At 43.5% G+C, this 26,479-nt stretch overlaps 1 long non-coding RNA gene and 1 pseudogene across 7 annotated transcripts in view, besides 1 other annotated feature; both read right to left on the reverse strand.

Annotated features, from left to right (window-relative positions):
* The window catches only part of SLC44A3-AS1 (SLC44A3 antisense RNA 1), a 203,881-nt gene that overhangs the window by 50,131 nt on the left and 127,271 nt on the right, over nt 1-26,479 (reverse strand). For 4 of the 7 annotated variants that reach the window (NR_160784.1, NR_160781.1, NR_160783.1 and 1 more), the window contains 2 exons: nt 12,943-13,125; nt 6,415-6,789 (listed from right to left, as the gene is read on the reverse strand). This is a non-coding gene — a long non-coding RNA (SLC44A3 antisense RNA 1). Of the gene's footprint in view, nt 1-6,414; nt 6,790-12,942; nt 13,126-26,479 lie in introns of those variants that run through there. The other 3 variants (NR_160780.1, NR_160779.1, NR_104131.2) reach the window with 1 other exon arrangement.
* Nucleotides 1,697-2,454: an enhancer, noted in NCBI's record as "NANOG-H3K27ac-H3K4me1 hESC enhancer chr1:95133735-95134492 (GRCh37/hg19 assembly coordinates)". NCBI's record gives its function as "activates a minimal SCP1, AML or CMV promoter by ChIP-STARR-seq in naive H9 embryonic stem cells {active_cell/tissue: H9 hESC(naive)}" and the evidence as "EXISTENCE:reporter gene assay evidence [ECO:0000049][PMID:30033119]".
* PGBD4P7 (piggyBac transposable element derived 4 pseudogene 7) lies at nt 6,357-7,679 on the reverse strand (annotated as a pseudogene).

Below are 26,479 nucleotides of genomic sequence, written 5' to 3' on the forward strand. Positions count from 1 at the left end.
TCATACTATCCTACTAATCTAACTTTTAGTAACTCTAATTCCCAGTAAAAAACCTAGGATTACTTAATTTAACTTAACATGCCTTTAAGATTTTAAATTATTGGAGAGGATTTTGAGACAAAATTTACCAAATTAATCTTACCAAAGATTACTAAAGTCATGTGAACTGAAAAGCCTCTGAGCTAGCTTCTATTAAGTTGATGAACACTGACTTTTCTTTAAGCCAATTAATTAGAGCTCTTTCACATAATTGATAGTGAAATATTATTTCCACATGAGACATAGGAACATATAGACATAATAGACACCCAGACAGAGGCAGATCTTACAGATTTAAAAGTTCTCATTTGCCTGTTTTCAAAACTTTTCTCTATTTTAGACTGTTAATCTCATGATTATCTGTTCCATGTCCTGAACAATTGTTAATGAGGCAACTGTAAATTTGCATCCCAAAGACATGACTTAGGTGAAACAGTGTAGAAAATGTACATCTCAAAGGCACACGCTTAGATCTAAACAAAGGCAATGTCTTTTATGTGAACTTCAAGCCATTGTAGGGACCCAGAAGCTCTTACTAAGTGGAGATTTCCTGTAAAGATGTAAATTTCCTTTGCAAAGAATTTTATTAAAGTGACTCAGTTTGATAGGTGTTATTTTCAATTTAGCTTGATTAGATTACTAGCTTTATGGTAGATCCCTTTAAGGAATAGGGCCAAGAAAGCCTGTACAATTTTCTTAATTTAAATGTACAAAGAAATAAGTAGCCCCCTGTAGTAATGACCATTTCCTATAAACTGTCCTTAGCCATCCCTAAGATTGTGGTTCTCTGCCACCACTACACACACCAAGGCCAAATTCTCTCACAGTACAAGGTAATCTCTGGTACCCCCACCAAAGACAAAGACATCAGGTAATGCAATACAAGAAAGCAGAGCTTTAGACCTGAGAAAAATCTGCCCGTGACTTTTGAAACTCCACAAAGAAAGCAGGACACCCCGAAAAAGGGTGAGTGGCACCTTTATTCTGAGTTCTTTAAAGGGTCTGATTAGAAGCCTTCTCTATGTTTTGTTTTGAATTTGCTTGGTACCAAAGATGGCAAAAGGGGAAGGAGGAATAGAATGGAAGAAAAGTAAACAAAAGAACAATCTTTTAAGAAAGGAAGTGAACAGAGAACCTGTTTGAGTAGGTAGTTAGGCAGACATAAGCAAGGCAGGGCAGTGCCCTACCCCTCAACCAGGACTGCCAGGAGACTGTCAAGTGATGGTCAGGCAGTTATTAAACTGTCTGTCCAAAACAATTGGTCAAAGCCAGCAGCAGGGAAAGGTGGTCTCCCAATAGATAGAAAACACCTGAAGCTGGTGATCAGCTGCTGTCAATAAGATCTCAGGAGCTGGGTGAGTGGAGTCAAGCATGCGCATGCTAAGAGGCAAAATGGCAGTTTAGCTGGGATATGACCTTCCTCTAGGAACACTCTACTGGTAAGAGAACAACGCCTCAAGTGAGCATGCGCAAAAATTCAGCAAACACACTGTGGCTGGGGCCCCTCCCAAGTTCTGGGAGGCCGCTGCACATGTGGACGTCCCATCCCAAAGGAAGAATCAGGGCAGAAGAGACACAAGAGCCCGGAAGCATGCCAACATAAAAAAACCCAAGTTTACATTTGGATCTCTCAAGTTGTCCTCTTGGCCCTCTTCCAAGCGTACTTTACTTCCTTTCATTCCTGCTCTAATACTTTTTAATAAACTTTCACTCTTGCTTTATAACTTGCCGTGGTCTCTCATTCTGCCTTATGCCCCTCAGACGAATTCTTTCCTCTGAGGAGGCAAGAATCAAGTTGCTGCATACTCATATAGATTTGCTGCTGCTAACGAAACCAAGCGTATGATTCTTTCTTCTTTTTTGCAGCTGTGAGGAGTTTTAGCCAATTCAAAAACATTGTTCACCATAACTTGAAATTCTCATTTGGATTTGACCAAATAAGGTAGAGTTGGTCGAATCCAATGTGAGAAAGACTAAAATAATAAGGAAACAACAAAACAACAACAACAACAACAAAACCAATGCGATTACTGAGCACTTTAGTGTTAAAAGGAAATTAAGATCAGCTGGTTGTCAATCTTAACTCTTAGTCATTAAGCAGGATTTTCAAGACAAAACTCCAATTCAGCTACTTACCTAGGAGTGGCGCCCAGGCTCAATACTCCTCTCTACCATTTTAGAAGCAGTAAAATACTCAAACTCACCTTCCCTGTTGGATACAAGCTGAAACTCCAGAAAGGAGTTGCCTGCCATCCATTGTCATGGAAACAGGAAAACTCGCCTTTTTTGTTGGAAGTGAGTAAAACTCCAGAAAAGGAGTTGTACTTCAAAATAAACCTTAGATCTCAACCAAATTTGGGGTGATCAGGGATTCTCCAGAGGGAGTTGCTCCCAGACCTCAGAAAATTGTCTTATCTTTGAGCAACAAAGATAACCTAGGCTGGAACCAAGTACTGGTAAGAGATTTGTCAAAGGTCAGGGGCACCTCCTCTCAGAGTCCCTTCCGTCAGCCGCCAATTTGTAAGCCAAAAAATATCTGAGACAGGTCTCAATCAATTTAGAAGTTTATTTTGTCAAGGTTAAGGACATGCCCAGAATAAATAAAGACAGAGCCACAGAAATAGTCTGTGGTCTGTGCCTTTCTCCAAAGGTGATTTTGAGGACATCAATATTTAAAGGGAAAAAGTGGACTGGAGGGGAAAGAGGAAGGGTATGGTAATCCCTATATTGCAAGAGAAAAGGAGCAGGTAGAGGAATAGTCAATTATGTATTCATCTTGTGCTCAGTAAATTGGCACTTTTCATAAGATAAAGTGAACATAGACTAACTGCCTGTGGAGATATTTAACCTCTTATCTGCAGCTATCTGCTCAGAAACAAAAAGAAAGGCAGCTTCTTGCATGACTCAGCTTTTAGCTTAATTTTTTTTCCTTTGGCATAGTGAATTGAGATCCTGAGTTTTTATTTTCCTTTCACACATATAATGGGGACAAATGTCTTGGAGAAATTTTGAAGATTCTTCTCTCGGAAGATTAGATTGATCATATATCCAAAGTATTCAGTACAGAGACTGGCCAGTAAACAACTGTTAAGTCCTTTCTATTCTTTTGTGTATTTCCTAGAGTGGGCAAAGAATGGAGGGGACAGGTGGTCCATTTCCCTTTTTCTAGGGTAGCTTAGCAAGACACTAGTCATAGCAATAACTCTGAACCACTCCGTTTCCTTTTCTTAGTGAAGGTTTAAATTTTGTTTGAATTTTACTAAAAGAAATGCCTTGTCAAGGATGACTTCCAGAACTAGGGTTGGCTGCTTTGATTAACATCTGCTCTGGAAAAAGCACCCACCTCAAGTTCAAAGTCATTCCCTGCTCTTTGGAGAAGATAAAGTAAGCACATGTCTTCTCTCACCAGCACAAGGAAAACTTCTCCAGGTAGAGGAAGGGTGAAGACCTCATCCTTCAATCTTTGCTTCTTGAACCACCTTCACAGATTTCACAGGGGCTAAAAAAGTCTATCTTCTCCCAGGTCAGCAAAGAAAAGCAGCATCCTTTCTCTTCTGTAGTCAACCTTCATTCAGGCTTAATGGAGTGAAAAAAATTATAACCCTCTTCTCAGAGAGGACTGTCTTTGTTAAAGAAAAGACCCTGATAAACATCTGGGGTTAGAAGGTGAGACCCTGAATCATGACTTAGCTGAAGACAAGCTCATTAGAAGATAATTAAACTTTTCTGAATTAGAATTCAATGGAACTTGAACAGAAAAGATTTATTGGGAGGGTGATGGAGAAAGAAGAAAGATGGCAAGCCACGTGGTTGAGAGGCCAAAAAACTGCTAAGAACAAGGAGGTCTGCTTCAGATTCCAAAGTCATTTGCTCTGTTCTGATGTAACTATCTCCACAGCTTCCTAACCCCTTCAGGACAGTCTGCTTTACAGGCATTCACATTGAGTACGAGTGGCTTTTTTAGTGGAAGTCAAGTGTATAGGCCAAGTCCCACATGTGGGTCACTTTGATGTAAAACAAAGACAACATCTACAGACTGAAGAGCTGAGTCAGAAACTGAACTAATTCAGTGGAAGCAGGAACTCAAAAGCCAAGGCTGACAACAAGCAAGTCTTTTTAGAATTTGTGGATATTGTAGGGGTGATTTTTCTTGTCCACAGGTCTTTGAATTGGTATTTGAGCCCATCTTTATGCATCTTATAGGACAAGGTAGGATTCTCTGGGTGCCATGTATGTGGCATATCCTAGACAAACTCAGCTAGTTCATCCTAGCATCTTTGGGATCTGCCTTGCCTCAGGAGTATCTGCTCCTAAGGCAGTGAGGCTCTCTACTGTGTAAGTGTGAAAATAACCATTATCTTGTTATAGAACCAAACTGGGGTCCATTGGCTCAGCACAGTAAGACCAGATACCCACACCAAGGTTCATAGCAGGAAAAAGGAAGGTATTTATTTGCAGGGTGCCAGGCAAGGAGGATCGAGCAGCTAATGCTTAAGTCCCAGCCTTCCCCATATGGCTTGTAGGTAAAGATTTTTAAAGGCAGGCATAAATTTCAGGAAAGCAGAAGTTACAGACAAAACCACAAATCAATACTGATTTAGCTAAGTCTCTGAACACCCGCATATTGATTTTGGCCGAAAAGGGTGGGATATGTTGAAGCAGGGGGCTCACAGGTCATAGTTAGATTCAAAGATTTTCTGTAATTGGTTAAAGAAGAGAAGTTTTGTTTAAAAATTTGGGGTCAGTGCAAAAGAATGTTACTCTGGTTGGTTATGACTTCCTCCAGGCCTCTCAGAAAGAAATTTAGAACAAAGAACAGTGCTGAGTTCAGTCCCCAATTCCCCCTTATCTGAGGTCTACATGCAAGAAGATCCATGTGGTGGGGGGTCCCAGTTTCTGAGAAGCAACTCAGAGACATGGTAAGATGTTATCTTTAGTTTTTGTAGGGGAACGAAACATTCTGTGATTCTAGCTTCCCTGGCTATTGTTTTAAGCTACTGTTACCTTCTTGCTTTTCAAGTTGCTTATTTACTTCTCAGAACTAGCTAGGTGCCTAGAATTTCCCTTGAAGGAACTCAGGATCTTCCTTTCTTTCCATGTTTGGGGTTGGGGCTAGGGAAGAGGTCCTTAAGAGGAATTCTCTAATCCATCTCAATCTTCTCCCATAGCCTGTCTCTCTCCCAGTTCAGAGTTTTAGGACCAGAAGGAGGAATTCTTCTCCAATTTCTCTTTCCTTCTTTCTGGGTCTCCAATCTTCCTCAGACTTTATGCCACCACTAGAGATGAAGGTAGCTCACCCCAGGTGGTGGTTCTCACTGCTGTCCGCAGTGGGTGTTCAGAGACTTAGCTTCCACCTTCAAGATATACAGAAAGAGTCCCACAGATGTTTAATGGCAGATCCCACTGAGGTAGCCCCAGGGCCTTTGCTGCCCATCTTTGGTGGGACCCACTCACCTCCACCTGTTCTGTTCATGCTTCCCAGACCCTCTCCCAGGGTTGGTGAGATCCTCCTGTTAACCACAGCATTCTCCCTTACCAGTTGGCCAAAAGAAGTGTGTGGGACGTCTATTGGGCGGTCACCACTCTCCCCTGCCAGGGACAGTATCTTCTGGCTTCTGCATATCAGATCATATCTCCAATCAGATGCCTGATTCCTGACTAGGGCCTTTATTTCTTCCAGACATTCCAGTGGGTTGGCAGAAGTCACCATGTTGCCTGTAGGAACTTCAGTCTTAGGCCCAGCCTTTGTCTTTTCTGTGGCCACTCCTGACCTCCCTTTATCAGTTGCTTTCTTGGAGGAATATTTAATAGAGAAGAGCCAGGGACCCCCAGGCTCAGGGGCTCCATCTGCCTTGTCTCTCAGAGCCTCAGCTACCTCTCTTGGCTGCCAGTTTGGCCTCTTGTCAGTATCCTACAGAATTTCTGCCTCCAAGGTCTTCTGACCTCCCCTGCTCTGTTTTTCTGAGGTGTCCCCCAACCCCTGGCTTTCCTTATCAGGGCCTTTTGTTTTTTGGCTACACTATTGGTTTGAGCCATTGCTGGACTTACGGGAACAGGAAGACAACAGGCGAGAAAGCCCTAGGTTTTAACTTCCCCCAGCAATGTATTCCTTCCATGCCCAGCCACTGGGCATTTGTAAAGTACCCAGAGCCTGGTCATGGCCGCGAACGCATCTTTCTGTCCTATATCCCATTTAGAAAAAAAAAATCTGCAGCTAGCTCACTGCCAGCGCTCATTTAATTTTACATAAACACGTTCCTTGAAGCTAAAGCAAATCTGACTGATTTTTCAATGTGAAAACAAAATATAAAAACTGTTCTTGGAGTTATTTCTAAACAGAACTTGTCTCTAATCCTAATATAACAGAAACGTATATGATGATCAGTATTTAATTTTATTTTTCATGTGGTAAATTTCAAAGCATGGGACAAAGGCAGAACATCCCATTCTGCACAAAAATATTGCGTTTCTCTCAGGACCTTCTTGCCATCTTTATCACTGTGTGCTCAGCAAACTTTGCAGCGACCAGTTGGATTCCATTTCCCTGATGTTGGTGGTATGCTCTTGGGGAAATGTCTTCCAGACAGGGAAGAAGCGTGACATCATCAGAGCACGGATGACCTTGAAGACTTTGCTGCCCTGGCCTGTGATGCTTTTCCAGCATTCTTTCACTCAGCGTCAGTCTGAAGTTTATATGGCTCATCGTGTGCTCAGGATTGTCCTTCCAGAACAGGATGTAGGAGCTTAGCACTGCAATGTTTAGAGGGTGACAAAAGAATTTCTTAGACCAGCTGGGCAGATGGCTTATGCCTGTAATCCCAGCACTTTGGGAGGCCTAGGTGGGTGGATCACCTGAGGTCAGGAGATCGAGACCAGCCTGACCAACATGGTAAAACCTGTCTCTACTGAAAACACAAAAATTGGCTGGGTGTGGTGGCGCACACCTGTGGTCCCAGCTATTCGGGAGGCTGAGGCAGGAGAATTGCTTGAACCCGGGAGGCAGAGGTTGCAGTGAGCCGAGATTGCACCACTGCACTCCAGCCTGGGCGACAGAGCGAGACTCCATCTCAAAAATAAAAAAGTATACATATAATTAAGGCCAGGCATCATGGCTTACACCTGTAATCCCAGCACTTTGGGAGGCCAAGGCAGGTGGATCACCTGAGGTCAGGAGTTAGAGACCAGCCTGACGAATGTGGAGAAACCACATCTCTACTAAAAATACAAAAATTAGCTGGGCATGGTGGCACATGCCTGTAATTCCAGCTACCCAGGAGGCTGAGGCAGCAGAACCACTTAAACCCAGGAGGTGGAGGTTGCGATGAGCCAAGATCGCGCCATTGCACTCCCGCCTGGGCGACAAAGTGAGACCCCATCTCAAAATAAGTAAATAAATAAACAAAAAAGAATTTCTTAGACGAAACCTTGTGCCTTTTGTGCTCAGTTGGATAGGAAGTGAGCATCTGATCAGCCAGTCCACTGTTCCCACATTCTCGTGATAATCCAAAATGACACATGGCTTCTTAGTCTTCTTTCCATTTCTGTTGTTTACTTCAATCACAGTATCATTGTGGAATGTTGACAACATTGTCACCTCCTTCTTGTCACACCATTTCAGTGCCATAAGCTCACCACAGAATTAACATTATGCATAGGAATGCTACATTTTCTAGGATTTGACATTTTCCGTGATCAAGAATGACTATATTTTATAAACGGAAACACCACTACTAAAAACAGAATGCTATAAATGGAATGATGTATTTTTTTCCAAAGTCAATATACCACAGCGATGCAAAAATAATAATAAAAGCGAAATATTCTGTGGCAAACTTTGGTGGTAAGATTAGGACTGTAATCTGTGAGTTATCTTGGGGTAAACTCTGCAGCAGCAAGTGTTCCGGGGCAAATGGGAAATGGGTTAAGAAACCCCTTTCCCGCTGCCTCTTTAGATTACATAATTCACTCTGGTTCTCCAGACGTTCTACTTTTAATAACACAAGCTAAAATTTATTGAGCACATCATATGTGCTAGGCACTGTGCTAAGCACTTAGCTTTCATTGAATCATCTAATTCCTACCACGACCCTGTAAAGCAGGAACTATTATTCCTTCACCTCAGAACTGAGGTGCTGAGAAGTTAGGTAACTTTCCTGCATAGCTAGAAAGTGATGGACTAATGATGAAGCCTGTGTTTTTTATCTCTATGCTCTACTGCATCTTACTGAGCCTTATTATGTCTGTCAGCCATTTCCTTTACCAAAGAGAACACCCTACTTCCTGCCCACCCAGTGAGTAGATAAGTATGTTTGACCAGCTGTCCTTAGCTTGGCACATGTAATGGGTATCAAGTAGTGTTTGGGGGATGGATGGAGAGGTAGATGAGTAGGGGGATAGGTAGGGGGGATGGGTGGGTAGATAATGGGCAGACAGTTGGATGAATAAGTGAATGTATGGGTGGATGAATGGATGATGGGTTGATAGATGAGTGGATGAATAGATACATGAGTGAGTGGATCATAGATGAATAGATGAGTGGATGGATGGATGAATGAATAATTGGATGATAAGTGGAGAGATGGGTGGATGAATAGATGTGTGGATGAATGGATGATGAGTGAATAGATGGAAGGATGAGTGGATGCATAGATTGATGGGCAAATGGACGGGTAGATGGACTGCCACATGATCAAGGGGCTTTTGTGAAGAAAAACATTTAGGAACACAAGAAGCCCAACTAATCTAGAGCTACATACTCTCTGGCTGATTTGTTTCCTCTTTTCTCCAGATCCTATAGTCTATTCTGTTTGTAGGAGGAGAGCTTCCTCTAGGTATCTAGCCCCCACAGAACAAATAGAGCAACGGTGTTCCCTCTAACAGTTGCTTCTGCCTATGTTTATTTTCATAGGTGCTTCACATTAACTTTGGAATTCAAAATGGATTTGCTCAGGGTGGCTTAGTTTTCAGTAAGGCTGGCTGTTCCTTGATTCTGGTGGGATCCTGTAGCCCAAACCTGACTCAGAAGCATTGGCCTGCGGGATACATTGTTTATGTCTGGAGGTCTGAGGCACCCCTATTGTGCAGAAACAAGGAAATGCACATTTCCCAACACTTCGGCTACAAAACAGAGGCTAGGACTGAATATAGTGTGCTCTTTTAACTCTGAAAAAGTTCATGAAAAAGTCGAGCTTGCAGGATGGGAACAAACTCCCTTATTAGGCCTTTCCCCTTCACTTCCAGATTCCTGTCTACCCTCATCCTAACTCCCACACAACTCCCAGCTCTCTCCTCTTGTTCCCCTGATTCCAGATGACAAACTCACTCTTGCTAAGGTGTTAGTGATTTACTTCTTTTCTTTACCATTAAAGAAAAATTTCTTCAATAAAAGCCATATTAAACTCAAAGCCAGAGTCACTCGAATTCCCCAAGCAAGTCATATCCACTGGGTCTGTCATTCAGGCTATTAGTTTTATGTATTCTTTTTATTAACATTATATTTAAATCAAATTGATCAGAAAATAACTCAAGCCCAAGTTCATTTCCCATTGACTTTAGTGTTTCTAGAGAGGTTCTTCCCGTCCTCCTCAGACTGAAGATTTGGGGCACAAACATGCTAACCTTTCTCACCAATCCCGGGACCCTCAGCCCATGTCTCACTGCAAGGTATGCAATTCACCAGAAGTGGCCTGCCCTGCTCCTTACATAAGGCCTACTTGCCCCTTCGGAGTGACCAAGGTGCTCTGGCCATGAGGCTGGGGCTGCAGTACTCCTCTGGCAGTGTTCTATCATCATCCTCAAGTACTAGGTTGGTGCAAATGTAATTACGGTGTTTGCCTTTTTTTTTTTTTTAAAGACAAAAACTGCAATTACTTTTGCACCTACCTAATAGTTGTAGTACAGGAAGGTGGTACAGGATGGTAGAAGAAGCCGGGCATGAAGGTACAGGAAGGTAGAGTTACCTCCGCTGGAGAGTTTTCAAGATGTTGACCAACGCGTGCATTTTGACATGGGCATAAAAGAAAGGAAAGAAAAAATTGCATTTGCCCTCCTTTGGTCTCCCTCTGAGCTTTTTGATAAGCTCTACATGCCCAGCTGTAATCCTTTTGCCTGATTGTGAGCTAAGATTACAGGTAAACTCTGTGAACTTTCTGCATGAAAAGTTATATATACAAAAAAGTTCCTTCCCTTGTGCTCTAAATCCTGTTTGCCATTCAAAGAACAGTGGGAAATTGTTGTCGTATCCGATCAGCCTATTTAATGTGAAAGCAGATTAAGTCTTTATGCTCTGTGAACTCTGGACAAACCTGCCCATGACAGGTGTGTCCCAGGCCCTGGCAATTGTTCATGCTGGGGCCCCAAGCTCCTTTTATATCTTCAGATGGAGGGAAGGTGTGCTTTTGGCAGGGAGGAAGTAGTCAGTGTGAAATTGGAGAAAGGCATTCAGTCTTCCAAGTGGACACAGTGTCCCCGCGCACGGCTGGCAAGCAGGGTGCAGGCTGATTTCAGCCAGCTCGGCCCCTCAGGGATAGTGTGTAAGGTGCCCCTGGCCCCTGGGGTTACCTGGCTTTGCTATGAGGATCTCTGGCTGCTCTGGAGAGAGTTAAAAGTGTCTTAGCTTTTGGAATGCTTGCTATAGATTTGCCCATATTAGACCTAAAAAGAGCAAGCGTGTCAGCGCTGGAGCAATGAGAGTATGTAGAGTTGGCAGGCTGGCCAGGGGGCTGCATCACCCCTGCGAGTTCAGAGGCATTTCTCATCAATGCCCGCTCAGCAAAAAGACGCTGAATCTCAACCCTGGCACATTGAAAATTTCTTTGAAATTCTCCAGCCCAAACAGCTCTTAGATATGCAAAGCATAATTGACAGAAACTTGAAGCTAGAAGCCTCCTTGAAAGGCCACCTATGCCAACCCCCAGGTTTTAGGCAAAACCACCCTTCAACTATTCTAGAAAATACTCCTTGAAGCTGATGGGAAGATTGCTGGCTTGAAATTTCCTTTTGAAAATATGATGGATGAACTCCGAGGGCATCCCGAATCCTTGTCTTTTTATTTTATTAATTTTATTGTGTGATGAAAGAAAAATTCTCTGAAGTCAGACGTCAACAACCCACCCCCACCACTATTCTCCTCCTCCTCCTCTTCGGTTGGTTCCCTGGGAGACCACCGTGAGACAAGATAAATGAGCAGCAAGGTTTTTGAAGCCAGTGCTCAGGAACAACACCTCTAAGAAAATAAAGGAAGCAGGACTGAGCTGCAGTACAACTGTCATGCAATCGGGGCAACCTCAGTGTAGCGACCCAGGCAGAAAGTACTTCTCTCTCCCTGCATCAAGGGATCAGTCTCAGGAAAGGAGAGGGATTGGTGTAGATTGGGTCCCGTGCCCACTCCCTGGTCCAATCACTGTGGCCAGGGGATGAGTGATTATGATTGGCCAGCCCCAGGTCACATGGCCACAAATATCAGGGGAACGGAAAAGCTTGCTGGACAGACGAAAACAACAGGTACCACACACCTCTAAAACTACCTCTCAAAATTGTGAAAAGACTAGTGAAAGTATACATAACTGTTTGGGAAGCCCAGGCGGGCGGATCACCTGAGGTCAGGAGTTCAAGACCAGCCTGGGCAACGTGGTGAAACCTGGTCTCTACAAAAATACAAAAATTAGCCGGGCATGATGGCGGGTACCTGTAATCCCAGCTACTCGGGAGGCTGAGGCGGGAGAATCGCTTAAACCCGGGAAGCAGAGGTTGCAGTAAGCCTAGATTGCGCCACTGCACTCTAGCCTGGGCAACAGAGCAAGACTCTGTCTCAATTAAAAAAAAAAAAAAAAGTATACATAACTGCCTAACAGAGGACGTAATAGGACACACCCAATAAATGGTCATTGTTGTTTCCTCCAGCAGCACCGTAAGAAGGAATACAAACAATCTTTCTTCTGCAGTCTTGGAGCAAACAGGTGCTGATAAAATCAACATTAGTTCAAGCCTCACCCCCAAAGTTGAACTGAGCCTGAACCTTTCTGAAGAATGAAGAATGTTTAGCAAACATTCCCCTCCAGTGTGCCTAAACTTCATGTATCTTTGTACTTCCTCGGCCAGATGGGCCTGGACCACCAGAAACGTCATAAGGATGTTTATCTCCTTGAAAACTTCGATGGTCCAAAAGTATTTCTGAAGAAAGACAGTCCCCAGTGTTTTTCTGACCTCTTCACAGAGCCAGAGCCAGGGCATTTGGATGAAGTGGGGAAAATTCCTGTGTCCGAACTGAATATCAGCATCCTGCAATGTCTTGTTGCCAAGAATGGGTCATGTATGTCCTTCTCCTCCTCAAAACTATAAACCTCTCCAGAACCTCCTGAAGAATTAAGGACAGAGAGTTCTGGGCCCTCAGTGACAAGCCCACCACCCCTACTGCCCTGCTCCAATGCTATGCTGTGGCCAATCAGATGTCCCAAAGTTCCCCAAACTCCAGGGTCACCTGCCCTCTACCTCCTTATCATGCTCACTGTTCCCTGTACGAGAACATGATGTTCCCATCTACCACTCCCCTAACTCAACCCTCAAAATCCCGCTCATTTTCAAGCCCACCCTAAAGCCTTTCCTACCCTTTCAACCAACTGTGGTCTTGACTACCTTTAATCTCCTTATGGAATATGTATTTTGCCTTATGCTATGTTAACTTGAATGATGATCTTCATAATTTATTTAAAGAACATTTATCAAGAACCTACTATGTATCTGTACTAGGCACTGGTGAGGAGATGGATGAGATAAAACGAACCCAGCCAATCTGGGGCTCTTAGCAGCCCAGGTGCAATGTATTTCAACTGATGATTTTCCAGCATTTTAAAATTCATATGCTTGTCCTACCTAGCTCATGCATTAGATAATTCAGTCACTAACCTGTTCTGAGTTTTGGTGTCCCTCGATGACAAAATGAGAGCTTCAGGCTACATGGTCACCGAAGATCTCTTCCTACACAGCAGTGAATCTCTCATGTTCTATTGTTGCCTTGTCAGCACTTCATCACTTTGCTCCTGTTTTTATCATCCAGCAATACAAGGTGTCCCTCTGAGCTTCAGAAAACTGGGAGCAGAAGTTTGGAATTAATACATAATAGCATATCTATGTTTCCTGAACATAAACAGTGTGGTGGTCAAGTTGGTGAAAAGCCATAACCTCTTATCTGGACCACAATCTCTTCATCTGTAAAATGGGACAGTGGGAGTAAAGGTCACTAAGGCCCCTTCCAACTCTGATACTCTGTGATTCATAATCATCCCCTCTTTTGCTCCCACAAGAGCACATCATGTTCTGCAAGGAGATGGCTGCCAAACCGCCTGGAAGAGGGAAGCAAACACTCATCCACCCCGAGCCTCACCCCAGGGAGACCAGCTGAGTTTGAAGAAAAGGCTGCAGTGGAGTCCAGAAGGCTTGGGTTTTAGCTGCTGGCCCCCATTCTCTGCATAAATTTGCTGTGGGAACCATTTGAACAACTTTAATCTCTGGAAAGAGCAACAGCCGACATTACTTGATTAAGTAACTCACCCTCCTTAACTCATCTCCCAGCTCCCTTTTCCCAGGTTTGGTACCTCCTGGGTCCTGACCACAGTCCCGTGGGTAGAATGAACCACTGTCTGCAGCACCATGTTGAAGACGGCAGCTTCAATCAAAGAACTTGTTGGCCAGCTACCTGTCACTCAAATAACTTGATGGATGATGAAAAATTTAGTCAACTAACACTGTTCCAAGCAGAGAAGAAGCTTTTTAAGTGGATCTCCTTTTAGCCTACTATATTCTGTCTTTGTCCATTCTTGCAGCTGTAACAAAATACCTTAGACTGGGTGATTTATAAATAATAGAAATTTATTTCCCACAGTCTGAAGGCTGGGAAGCTCAAGACTATGGTGCCAGCAGATTTGGTGTTTGTTGAGATATTGTTCTCTGCTTCCAGGGTGGCTCCTGGTTGCTGTGTCTTCACATGGCAGAGGGACAAAAGGGGTGTTCTCTCTCCCTCAAGCTCTTTTATAAGGGTTCTAATCCCATCTGTGAGCGCTCTGCCAAAGGTGCAACTTTTTAATACTATCTTAATTTGGGGGGCTAAGTTCTAACACATAAATTTTGGAGGGACATATACATTCAAACCATAGTATTTTTCATCTCCCTGTAAAATGTGCTGGCCAATGACTCTCAACATGAAGCCCACACCCTGTGCTTTAACTCCCACCAGCTGAGCTATACAAGCTATATGCTTACCAGGGGGCAGCTGCACTTGTCCCCAAGCCTGTTTATGGCAACAGTCCTTTAATTGTAACCATGTAATTTACTTGAGTATCAAATAAACCAATGAAATACAAGTGCAAAAAGAGATCTGTTGGTTATATAAAAAGAAAACTAAATTAAGGGCAAACAAAGGTAAATTTCTAAAAATATTTGCAGTCAGTTTTGATGTTTGAAGTAAGTGACGGTGTTTGATGAAAAATAATGAAAAACGCAGAAAGATTCTACACTCAGTCCTATAGTGTCTATATCTTCTTATTTCCCTTTGAAGAAGCCAAAACAAAAAAATTATAAATAAGACAGTGTATCTGTAGTTTATCAAACAAAAACAAAACACAAATGCCAATCAGAAGGACCCACACTGAAAGAAAAAAAGTCTTAACATCAAAACATTGACTAATCTTTTTTCTTTTTTTGAGATGGATTCAGACTCTGTCGTCCAGGCTGGAGTGCAGTGGTGCAATCTCAGCTCACTGCAACCTCTGTCTACCGGGTTCAAGTGATTCTCCTGCCTCAGCCTCCCCAGTAGCTGGGATTAGGGGCATGCACCACCATGCCCAGCTAATTTTTTTGTATTTTTAGTAGAAACGTGGTTTCACCATGTTGGCCAGGCTGGTTTCAAACTCCTGACCTCAAATGATCTGCCTGCCTTGGCCTCCCAAAGTGCTTCAATTACAGGCATGAGCCACTGTGCCCAGCCACGAACAATCTTTTAAGTTAAAATACAATATATAAGATATGTTTGAATCAGTTTTGTTACTTTTTAAGTACAAACCTAAAAATATTTTAACTGAACGTAAATGAATGACATTCTGTAGTCTGGGACCCAGGTATTTTATAGTTTTTCAACTTACGTTAATATTTTAGGATTGTCTCCATAGTTATTATTATTATGACAAATTTCAAGCATATATGAAATAGAAAAGTAGAGTGAACCTCCATATCCCGTTGTTCAAACTGTACCATCTATACTTCATCTTTTTCCTTTGCTGATGTAGTTTACAACAAACTTCAGACATGTCATTTTATCTCTACTTCAGGGATATCAGTAGATATCTCTTAAAATATGGAGATTTTCTTATATAATTGCAACACCATCATACCCAACATAATTAGCGACAGTTCTTTAGTGTCATCTAATATTTCTGCCTTTTCTTAGATTGCCCCCAAAATGTCTTTTCACTGTCAGTTTGCTGAAATCATGATATAACTACAGTGTACACATTACATTAGTTTGTGTCTCTAATGCCTTTTTAAATTTAGAACAGTACCCCCTTTTCATGCCATTAATTTATTGAAAAATCCCTTTTGTAAATAGATATATGAAAATTTCAAAGAGTTCAGAGAATTTCAAAGAATAGCAATTGACAAGGTTTTATCGGTGAGAAATCTCAAAAAATGCCAAAACAGACCCCAGATTTCTCAGGGTGCTCAGGGAGCTAATGTTGTCATGGCCCAGGGAAGAGTTTCTACCTCTTTCAGACTGACAAAATGAGCAGAGAACTGGAGACTGGGTTGAAAGATGAAAGGTTTAAAGTTCTGAAAAACAAAGATTCAAGCCGTCAAGAAAATGCAAATCAAAAACACAATGAGATACCACATCACACCCATTAGGATAACTATAATCAGAAAAAGATAATAAACAAGTGTTATTGAGGCTGTGAAGAAATTGGAACCCCCATACGTTGCTACTGGGAACATATTTTGAAAAACAGGCTGACGGTTCCTCAGAAATTAAACAGGGTGAACAATGACCCTGAAATTCCACTCCTAGATATACACTCAAGAGAAATGAAAACATATGTCCACACAAAAACTTGTACGTGACTGTTCATAAAAAATTATTCATAATAGCCAAAAAGTCAACACAATCCAAATGTCCATGATGAATGGATAAATTGACTGGTAGAACCACACACTGGAATATTATTCAGTCATAAAAAGGAATGAAGAACTGCTATGTGCTACAACATGGGTAAAGCTTGAAGATATTAGGCTAAGTAAAAGAAGCCAGCCTTCTGAAGGACACATATTGTATGATTCCATTTACGTGAAATACTCATAATTGATAACTGCAGAGACAGAAAGTAGATTAGTGATTGCCTAGGGCTTGGGAATTGGGAGGATTGGGGGAAGGATGACTGAGGAAATTCTTTTTGGAGTGATAAAAATGTTTGGAATTAGTAGTGGTAGTTGCACAATTCTGTGAATATACTAAAAGCCATTGAATGTACACTTTAAATGGGTGTATTGTATGGTATGTGAATTATATCTCAATAAAGCTGTTAAAACACACACACACACACACACACACACACACACACACACACACACACACTGGGTTTAGGAGTCCTTTATTAGCCAGGCTTGAGTGTAGAGGGGCCCTGCCCAGCAGGGGTTCACCTCTGCAGAGGATAGAAGGGAGCCTGCTTGGTGGCTGTTGGAAAGAGTGACTCAACAATGCCAGTGGGGGTCACCAAGGGAGAGCACGTGGTCACCCTCGCGGGTCCCTACAGTCTTCTGGAGTGGGTTGTTCTGGGTTAGGAACCAGATGGCCTCTTGACCCTGATTTCAGTAACGCCATGAAAGGAAACCCAAGGGGAACATGAAGGAGAACTGATTTTCCTTTTCATTACTGGCTGCCTCACTTCTTCTCAGGGCTGCACTCACCTTTATTTTCCTGCCTGCCTTCCTGGAGGGCAGTGAGACGCAGGCCCAGATCCTTCACACAGGGGAGCGAGAAGAGAGGGAGGAAGAGGCTGCCCATCAACATTGCCACCATGGCAGCCTCCTGCCCCTGAGAAAGTGGAAATGCCCAGGTATGACACGAAAGCAGGTTTTCCCAGGCAGCCAGGGGAAGCTAAGATCCCACGTCCCCGTGGCTTCAGGTGGAATGTGCTGTGGTGGGTGGGCTGTCGGGCAACATCCAGGCCTGAGGTCACAGAATAGGAACGGTGGGATGGCGGTGCAGAAGTTTCCTTGCCTGATTTTGAAAGTCTTATTCAGGCTGTTCAAGCTGCTAGTCTCATCAGAAATGGGTATCTGCCTGGCCCACACATTTCCAATTTTCCCTCTGGCCACAGGATCCTGTGCCCATTTGGCAAAGGAATAGGTCTCAGAAGAAGCATGTGGTCTCATGGAGATTACAGAGCTCAACTGGATCTGCAGAAAGGGCTCTGGGCCGGCTGGTAAAATGAAAAGATTCCATTTGTGGAAGGGCAGCGGTGGGTGGGCCAAATTCCCACGAGGCTTTGAAGATGCTCCTGGGCATCAGCCGGCCTTCCAGCCTCCTCCCTCCTCACTCCCACTGCTTCCAACTGCTGGTGCCACTCAGAAGAAAAGCGGCCACAGGCCACAGCCCTTCCTGGTAGCTCCAAGGGAATAGGTAAATAAACAGAAATAAGACAAACATAAATAAGAGTGTAACTTACAAAGCGTGTGTTCCCAGGGAGAAGAATCCAGAGAAAACACAAAATGTTGTCTAGAAGCCGCAGCCTAGATGCTAAAGAAGTGCTGTCTTCAACCCTGTAGAAACTGATACTCCACCCGCTTGTTCTTTCTGCTTCTAGTCCTGTGACCCCAGGAACCATCCTCTTTCCCTAGGACTATCAGCCAGCATCTCTCCTCTGTCGCCTCCAACCTGCCCTCTTCCCGCTCCACCGAGCACACCTGCAGGCAGGAGTGAGAATCGTTGCTATGTGGAGTGGGCAAGTGTCTTGACCACTGTCCTTCCCATTTACATCATGCCTGTCCTAGGGGTAATAACAATACTCACCTCACTGGGTGTGCTGAAGGTTAAATGAGAAAATGTATGCATCCAGCACAGAAAGCATAATATGTTTTCTTTTCTTTTCTCTCTCCTCCTCCTTTTTCATTCTTTCCACAATCTTTCCTTCCTTCCCCAAAAGTTACACTTTTCCAAGCTTAAAGCTCCATCTTGGCATCAACTGTAACCTGAATGTATGCCATTCACAGCTGATTTGCCGGGTGCTGTGCCACACAGTTCTGAACCCCAGTGAGGGATCAATCCACACCCAGTCCCCAGCTCTACCAGTCTCTGGAGCACTCTGCACTGCTCTCTCCAGCCCTACCTCATGCACACGAAAGGGGGCTTGGCCAAGTTTAGCATGTCATCACTGGCAGCCACACTCTGACCTGCAGTAACTTCTGCACTGGTTGACATTCACCGCTTTGAACATAGAAACAAGAGGCTCCCTGTAGCTGCTGCCTTTTGTGGGCTTCGCCATCGTCCTCCTGAGCAGGTTGGTTCCTGCGAGGGATGCAGCTGTAATGTGCTTCCTTTTTTACTTCTTTGGGCCCTAGCTGCACCAACAGTATGCAGATGTTCTGTGACTGTTACAAGGACCCATGTTAGGTGTCACTGAAGCAACCTAAGCAAGCATGAAGGGATGGGAGGTGTTTTTTGGTTCGTTCTACAACCCTGTAAATAAGACTCCAGCCCTTCACTTTGGGGCCCACACATCACAGTGAAATAGCCAGGCCCATCAGTTTGCTCCAGTGGAAAGCAGTGTCCCAGGGAGAGGGTGATCGTCCTCTTCAGATAACTAGAAACTGCCCAGGAAGCCTCAGCTGTGCAAGAGAACACTCACCAGCCATGTTCCACACACTGAGGCTGCTGCCCTTCACCTGAGGTCTCCTTGACTACATGGCGATCCCTGGTTGGCTGGTGCAAGGTGACCCGCCCTGCCTTGGCCCCATTCCTGCAGCATGGACCTCAGTGGGCGATGGAAATCACCCTTTTCCTGAGCTTCTAGAGTGGCTTTCCCCAAAAAGTGGGCTGTGTGGAGTCTTGTGCATGTGCTGCATAGTCTTGAGAAATGCTCCACCAAAGAGAGACAGAGAGAGAGAAAGAGAGAGATTCTATGGGCAATATATTTAGAAAATATAATTAGAAGGTATGTTATAATATATTCCTCTCCAACTGCTGTTCCCCCCATCTTGGAGGCTCTTAAGGTGTATGAGCTGATGAAGAGAAGGGAGAGGTCTTGCAATCAAGACGTCTGTTTAACATCATAGGGCCCAGTAGCTCCCAGATCAATGGAACACAGCTTGGGAAATGTGGCTCCAAGAGAGGTTCAGAAACCTGTTTGGACATCCAAGCCACATTTGGAGCCTCTTAAATACCACTTCCCATGCTCTGACTCACATGGGGTCTCGAAATCTATATCCCTAAAAGCTCCCCACTCTCTCCTTTGCCCTGCATGTGGGTGGTGCTGGGAACCACTCTTCTGGGACTTGGGGGCAGGGAGGAGGTTGGGTGGAAGTCCCAGGTTGCTGCTTTCTTTAGCAGTTATCCCATTCACTTAGGGCTTTCCAGTGAAGGAGACTGCTGCCAATTAAACAGAACTCCCCTCTCCTTGGTAAGAGCAGTGTTAGGAATGCCCCTTTCTGGAATCAGCCTCTGTTTTCATCCTAAGTAAATCTGAGAAGGCTCCTTGCTTGCATTTGGAACCTGTTCCAGCCTACAGGGAAGCATCAGGATTAAGAAGAATGAATAAATGGGCTGGGGCTGCACATCCAGGGTGTCATCCATGGTGGTGGGTCTAAGGCCTTGCCTGGCCCCCTAGGTCCTGCTGGGTCCTAAAATCCTCTTTCTATCCTGGTGTATTAGTCTATTTTCACGCACTGATAAGGACATACCCAAGACAGGGAAGAAAAGAGGCTTGATTGGATTTATAGTTCTACATGGCTGGGCAGGCCTCAGAATCATGGCAGGAGGCAAAAGGCACTTCTCACATGGTGGCAGCAAGAGAAAAAATGAGGAAGAAAAAGCGGAAACCCCTGATAAACCCATCAGATCTCGTGAGACTCATTCACTATCACAAGAATAGCATGAGAAAGACTGGCCCTCATGATTCGATTGCTTCCCCCTGGGTCCCTCCCACAACAAGTGGGAATTCTGGGAGATACAATTCAAGTTGAGATTTGGGTGGGGACACAGAGCCAAACCATATCACCTGGGCACAAAATTACATTTAATTGTCTCACACACTACATTGCTTCACACCTCTGTGCTTTGCTCTCAGGATTCCCTCTGTTGATACTCATTTACCCAATGCTTACTTTACTTGGATAAGTCTTTTACCAAAGATCGGCCCAGGTATCATTTTCTTCAGGAAATCTTCCCAAATATCAGGTTGGACCCAGTGTTCCTCCTCTGTCTTCCCAACATGCCAGGACAAAATCCCATTTTAACACTTAGTTCATAGGTGCTGAAAGGATGGGTTCATGAGTCCATGTGTTACTAAGCAATCAATGGGCTCGGTGCCCGATGCACACAGAAGCCAATACTATGGCACAAGCTTTTGAGAAAAGAAAAGTTTTATTGCTAGTCAACTGGCAAGGAGGTGTTATCTGACTGGATCCTGCAATTAGGTGTTGCCAGGAGGCATGATCTGCCTAGACCCTGCCGTAGAGTGATGCCAGAGCTTGATCTGATTGGAGCCTGAATTCTGCCATGCAGTGTCTGCTTCTTTTATCAGTCCCCCTCCTCAGTCCACTCCTCGGTTCCAGCCCTTAGAAGCCCCCTGTGGTTGCATATTTGCTTCATCTGGGCATGCTCAGGTTATGTGACCTTCAACCTGGGGGTCCATGGCAATTGAAAAACAACTCACAACTTTCTTCCATAAAAGTTGAGCCAGATTGGTCTGGTGCTGTTATACATACTTTCCCCGACCCCAGCTCCACCCACTTCTACTTGTAAACTCTGTGTGTGTATAAAATACAAGGTCTCATTTGTGAAAATTCTTGCTAAAATCTGTGTCATTTTAAAATGCAAATGATCCACCTATCCTTAATTCCTCAGTGGCCCTGGTGGAGCTCCTCTACATTCATGATTTTCAACTTATTGTCCTCTCCTCTCCCTTGTGAAGGGTTAGAACACCTCGACTGCACCTTAAATTTTTTAAGGTCAGAGAGTGTGTTTTATACATCTTTAAGCCCCTGAGGCCTAAATATTACCAGCTCATCTGTTGATAATCTCTTGGGAGACAGGTTTCATTTATGTGATTATTATCTTTTTGGTTTCACATCCAGAAATCTAAGCTAATGATTTTTTTTTTCTTTTGCAGGCTTCCACATTAAGGACTCAGAAATTTCTAACACTTTACAAGAGGGAGGAGTGAACAGCAAGTGGTTTGGAAATCACAAATTTGTAGGAGCTCAGCAAGTGCTACTTAGGTCTAAGGGACACAGGGCAGGTTTGGATTAAGAAATGACACCAGTTTGGGGCCGGGCGCAGTGGCTCACGCCTGTAATCCCAGCACTTTGGGAGGCCGAGGCAGGCGGATCATGAGGTCAGGAGATCGAGACCATCCTGGCTAACATGGTGAAACCCCATCTCTACTAAAAATACAAAAACAAAGTTAGCCAGGCATGGTGGCAGGCACCTGTATTCCCAGCTACTCTCAAGACTGAGGCAGGAGAATGGCATGAACCGGGGAGGCAGAGGTTGCAGTGAGCCGAGATCGCACCACTGCGCTCCAGCCTGGGCGACAGAGAAAGACTCCGTCTCAAAAAAAAAAAAAAAAGAAAGAAAGAAATTAAAAAAAGAAATGACACCAGTTTTGGCCAAAAAGTTCTTAAAATGAGACTTCACATTTTACAGAAATAACAATAATAACTAAAGAAAAAAAATCCTTTACCCTATAGATTAAATCTGTTTTCTTTGCTTGTGCAACCCACTTATTTTCATGTGGAACCTGGACATCTGAACTAGAAACAACAGCACCAGTCAGGGTTCAGTGGGAGACTAGTGGTACCTGTGAGAGGGAAAACTGAGCTGAGGTCAAGAAATTGACTATCTACAAAGATGCGTGGGATTAAGGGAAATTAGTAAAGGATGATGAGATGCCCAGGAACTAGCAACAGTCGGAAGCCATTACCTATGTTTCCTAGGTAACCTGGAAGGAGTTCCCAGAATCTGGAAAGAATGTAACAGCAGGGGAGCATTGTTCAACAGGGGCTGTGCCTTCGGTAGAAGAATGGAGCCACAGCCCCCCATAGCCCACAGGAAGCTGGGGGGAGAAAGTCCCAACCTCACTCTCCTCCCGCCTCCAGTCTCCTCCCTTGGCCAAACCCAACAGAGGTCAGAGATCAAAGGAGCCTATTGATGCAGATCCTCAACCTTCTGGAGCACAGAGGATGGTGGAGAGGGAGGAAAGGGGATCTAAAGGGACAAGTGTAGAATATCCAGTGCAACAGCTTTTGATTAGAAAAGAAAGTCATATTCCTTTGCTTAATATCCAAATCACAGCAACTCTGAGCCCCTACCTCCCACAAATTAGTCTTTTGCCCTCAAGCCCTGAAGAGGGTGTTGCACCCAACTTCCCTTACTGATAGAACACAAGCCCCAGACCCTCACCTGCCACTGGCTTTTGGCAGGATCTGTGACACTAAAATTACATCCGCTCTTTTCTAATCCTAGCTAATATGGGCTAAGAGAGGACAGTCTTAGGATTCTGGGAACTTCCTGTCCAGCTGATTCACAAAAGTCACAGACCAGCTGTCTTCTAAAGTAAAACTACCTCCTGGCCATGACTGTAATATGCTAGATTTCTGGAGCCCTTTAGAAAAATGGGCTCCTACCGGGCACGGTGGCTCACGCCTGTAATCCCAGCACTTTGGGAGGCTAAGGCAGGCAGATCACAAGGTCAGGAGTTTGAGACCAGCCGGACCAATATGGTGAAACACCATCTCTACTGAAAATACAAAAATTAGCTGAGCCTGGTGGCAGGTGCCTGTAATCCCAGCTATTCAGGAGGCTGAGGCAGGAGAATCGCTTGAACCTGGGAGGCAGAGGTTGCAGTGAGCTGAGATTGTGCCACTGCACTCCAGCCTGGGAGACAGAGCAAGACTCTGTCTAAAAAAAAAAAAAAGAAAGAAAGAAAGAGAAAGAAAGAAAGAAAGAAAGAAAGAAAGAAAGAAAGAAAGAAAGAAAAATGGGCTCCTTCTGGGTGCTTTTACTAAACACTAAATTAGAAAACATGTCTTTATCCTGCAGTCAGGAGACAATGATGTATCGGATGTCTGCTCCATATGAATTAAATAAAAGGAGATGTGAAAGTAAACAAAAAAATTGACTCTAAGTCATGAGAGAAACTTTTGCTTTCAAAATTTCATGAGCATTTTGGACAAAAGCATGGGTTATTTCTTATGCAAAATGGCATTGTCTGTCCTTCGATGGCACTGGTTTTGTGATTTTCTGAGCTTCAGAGCCTCATTATCCACTTACCATCTATTATTACTAATGTTGTCTTGAACTGAGACAACATGTTGTAACGAACCGGTTGTGAAATTTACTGGCAACTTCCAGACATGCCCACCCATCCCAGAGTAGGATAAATAGGGGCCTGGAAATATTTGGTATGCTACAGATTATCATTCTTAAAGGCTTACCACAAACATTTCAAGTTTAGAGCCCAGAAACATTATTTGAAGAATTCTGGCTAAATAGGCATTGGCAACAATTCTCAGAACCACTTTGGCTGACTTGGGAGCATGCATGACTCAACTTTCACCTCTTTTCCCTCCAATCAGTTATGGTAAAATCCTGTTTAATTTGTATTCGTAACCAGGATGGCTTTTAGAATGTTTCCCCTGAAGAAGGAGGAGATACGCTGGATTCTAGTGCAGATCAGAAACTTTGAGTATGAAAACACTGCGGGATTGGTATTAGGATGTTCTTGGCTACAAGTAACTAAAAATCCAATAAAAAAACCCTGACATAATGGAGAAAAATTCTGATTTCACACAACAAAAAACACTACCCAGATATGATAGGCTGGCTCCCAGGTTAGTGACACCATCAAAATCCTAACTTCTCTCCACTTTCTTGCTTGGCCATCCTCAGTGAAAATCTATTGGCCTGTCCTCAGGTTATTGAACTTGTGGTTATAAAATGGCATTCACTGTTGTATCACATGAAAACACAAAACTGTCCAAATTAAAAAATGTTTCTGCATTTCTTTTTAAGAGGGATGCAATCTTTTCTTAGAATCCCTTAGGAGACTCCTGTTCTTTCTTTCTTTTTTTTTTTTTTTGAGATGGAGTCTCACTCTGTCACCCAGGCTGGAGTGCAGTGGTGCAATCTCAGCTCACTGCAACCTCTGCCTCCTGGGTTCAAGTGATTCTCGTGCCTCAGTCTCCTGAGTAGCTGGGACTACAGGTGCGTGCCACCACACCCAGCTAATTTTTGTATTTTTAGCAGAGATGGTGTTTCGCCATGTTGGCCAGGCTGGTCTTGATCTCCTGACCTCAGGTGATCCACCTGCTTCAGTTTCCCAAAGTGCTGGGATTACAGGTGTGAGCCACCATGCTCAGGCGGCTCCTGTTATTTCTTATTAGCCTGAATTGCATTACTGTTCAGGCTGAACCTGTTACTAGCAATAACAACAAGGTCACTCTGATTGACATGCTCTTTGATAGTCACTGACAGCCCCTTTTTAGCCCACTCTTGTCCCTTCTATCACCTGAGGGAGAGCTATAAACCTTACATTGCTGTTTTAAGAGTGGGTTTGTACAATAGTTAGATACAGGTTAGTAATTTTCCAGAAACACAGGTTACTGAGACAAATGAGCAATTTCCCCAGCAAAACTGTCAGTCCCGTCAGGAAAAAAGGGAATGTTTTCTCCATCAAGTGGCAGTTGGCTGGCTTAAGAGGCCAGCAAGCAAATTCTATGTTTACAAGATCAATAATGGGGCTCCTGGAGTCAGAGATGAAATCTCACTATGAAACATCTTAGCTGCATCCAAGGTCAGCAACAGGGGACATTATTGTTAATTAGAGGCCCATGTGATGGCATTTGTTAAAGAAATGAATCTGTCCACCAGTAGCATACACCTTTTCACTTGTAGTGTAGCAGTCTTCCTGTTCCTTAGCTCAACTGGGTCTGAGTTCTTGTCTCACAACCAGGAAGAATGAGGCAAACAGCTACCAGAGAGTGAGTGGAGTAGAATTCATTAAGCGAAAAAAAAATTCTCAGGAGAGAGGGGATGTGGGGGGTGGTTTCCCTCCCCAAAGGGAGGAAAGTCCCCCGTGTGGCTGGGTCCAGGGCCTTTCATGGACTCAGAACAGGGAGTGTGTGCTGATTGGTTTGTGAGTATGTGAAAAAGGCTAAAGTGAAGACACCGCTCAAAGGTGAGCACAACAGTGTAGAAAACCAATTAAGAAAGGGTAGGTATACGTAAAATAGGTGAAGGGTGGGGATCAGTCAGAGGAAAGTGGACCAAATAGGAAGGCAAATTCTCAATTTAGTCCAAGGATTTAAGTTGTAGCTTGGCTTTCAGGCTTTAAACTGTCTTCAGCTTGGAGGTGGTATTTCACCAGGGACCCTCCCTTATCTGCCTAGGCATTTAGCTGTCTCCTGTCACTATCAGTAACATATGGCCCTTTGGGTTAAAGTCCTGCTCATAGACCTAACAGGTCCCACACTGCTACAATCATTTCTTCCCTACTCTCCCAGCTTACATCAATCTCTCCACCTATTTTCTATCCCTAAAATCCTACAGCATGTATAGGTTATATACTTTAATTTATTATAATAGTGATTCGTCTTAACCAGGGAGACAGTGTCATGTAAGAGTTCCTGTGTTCAAATCCTTGTTCTGCAACTTACTTGCCATGGAATCTTGGGTAAGTTATTCAATGTCTCCATTCATGTGTCCTTATCTGCAAATGGTATAGTAAGGGTGTCTGGTTTATAAAAGTGTTATGATTGTTACAGGTAAAATAATTGGTATACAGCAAGTGCTCAATAACTGGTAGCTACTATTATTTTTAAAATATTTATGCCCTTTAGCCCAGAAATTCTGCTTCTAGAATAAAGAATAAGTAATCATGATTTTTTATAAAAACTATATCTTCAGCATTTTTTATAATATCAAAAACTGGATATAGTCTCGGTATACAAGAATAGAGGATTGGTTAAATACATTATAATCTATCCATAAAATGGAACACTATTCAGTAATTAAATGTCAATATCTCTCTCTATATGACATGAATGTTCAAAAAATATGGTTACGTGAGAAAAACAAAAATAGAAAACAATATGGTAGTGAAGACCATACTCCTAAAAGGATGAGCCTCTCTGGAAGGGAATTACGCCAGGACACTTACCAAGATGTTAATGGTGATTA

This window comes from Homo sapiens, chromosome 1, assembly GCF_000001405.40.
Source record: "Homo sapiens chromosome 1, GRCh38.p14 Primary Assembly".
In the NCBI taxonomy this organism is placed as follows: Eukaryota; Metazoa; Chordata; class Mammalia; order Primates; family Hominidae; genus Homo; species Homo sapiens.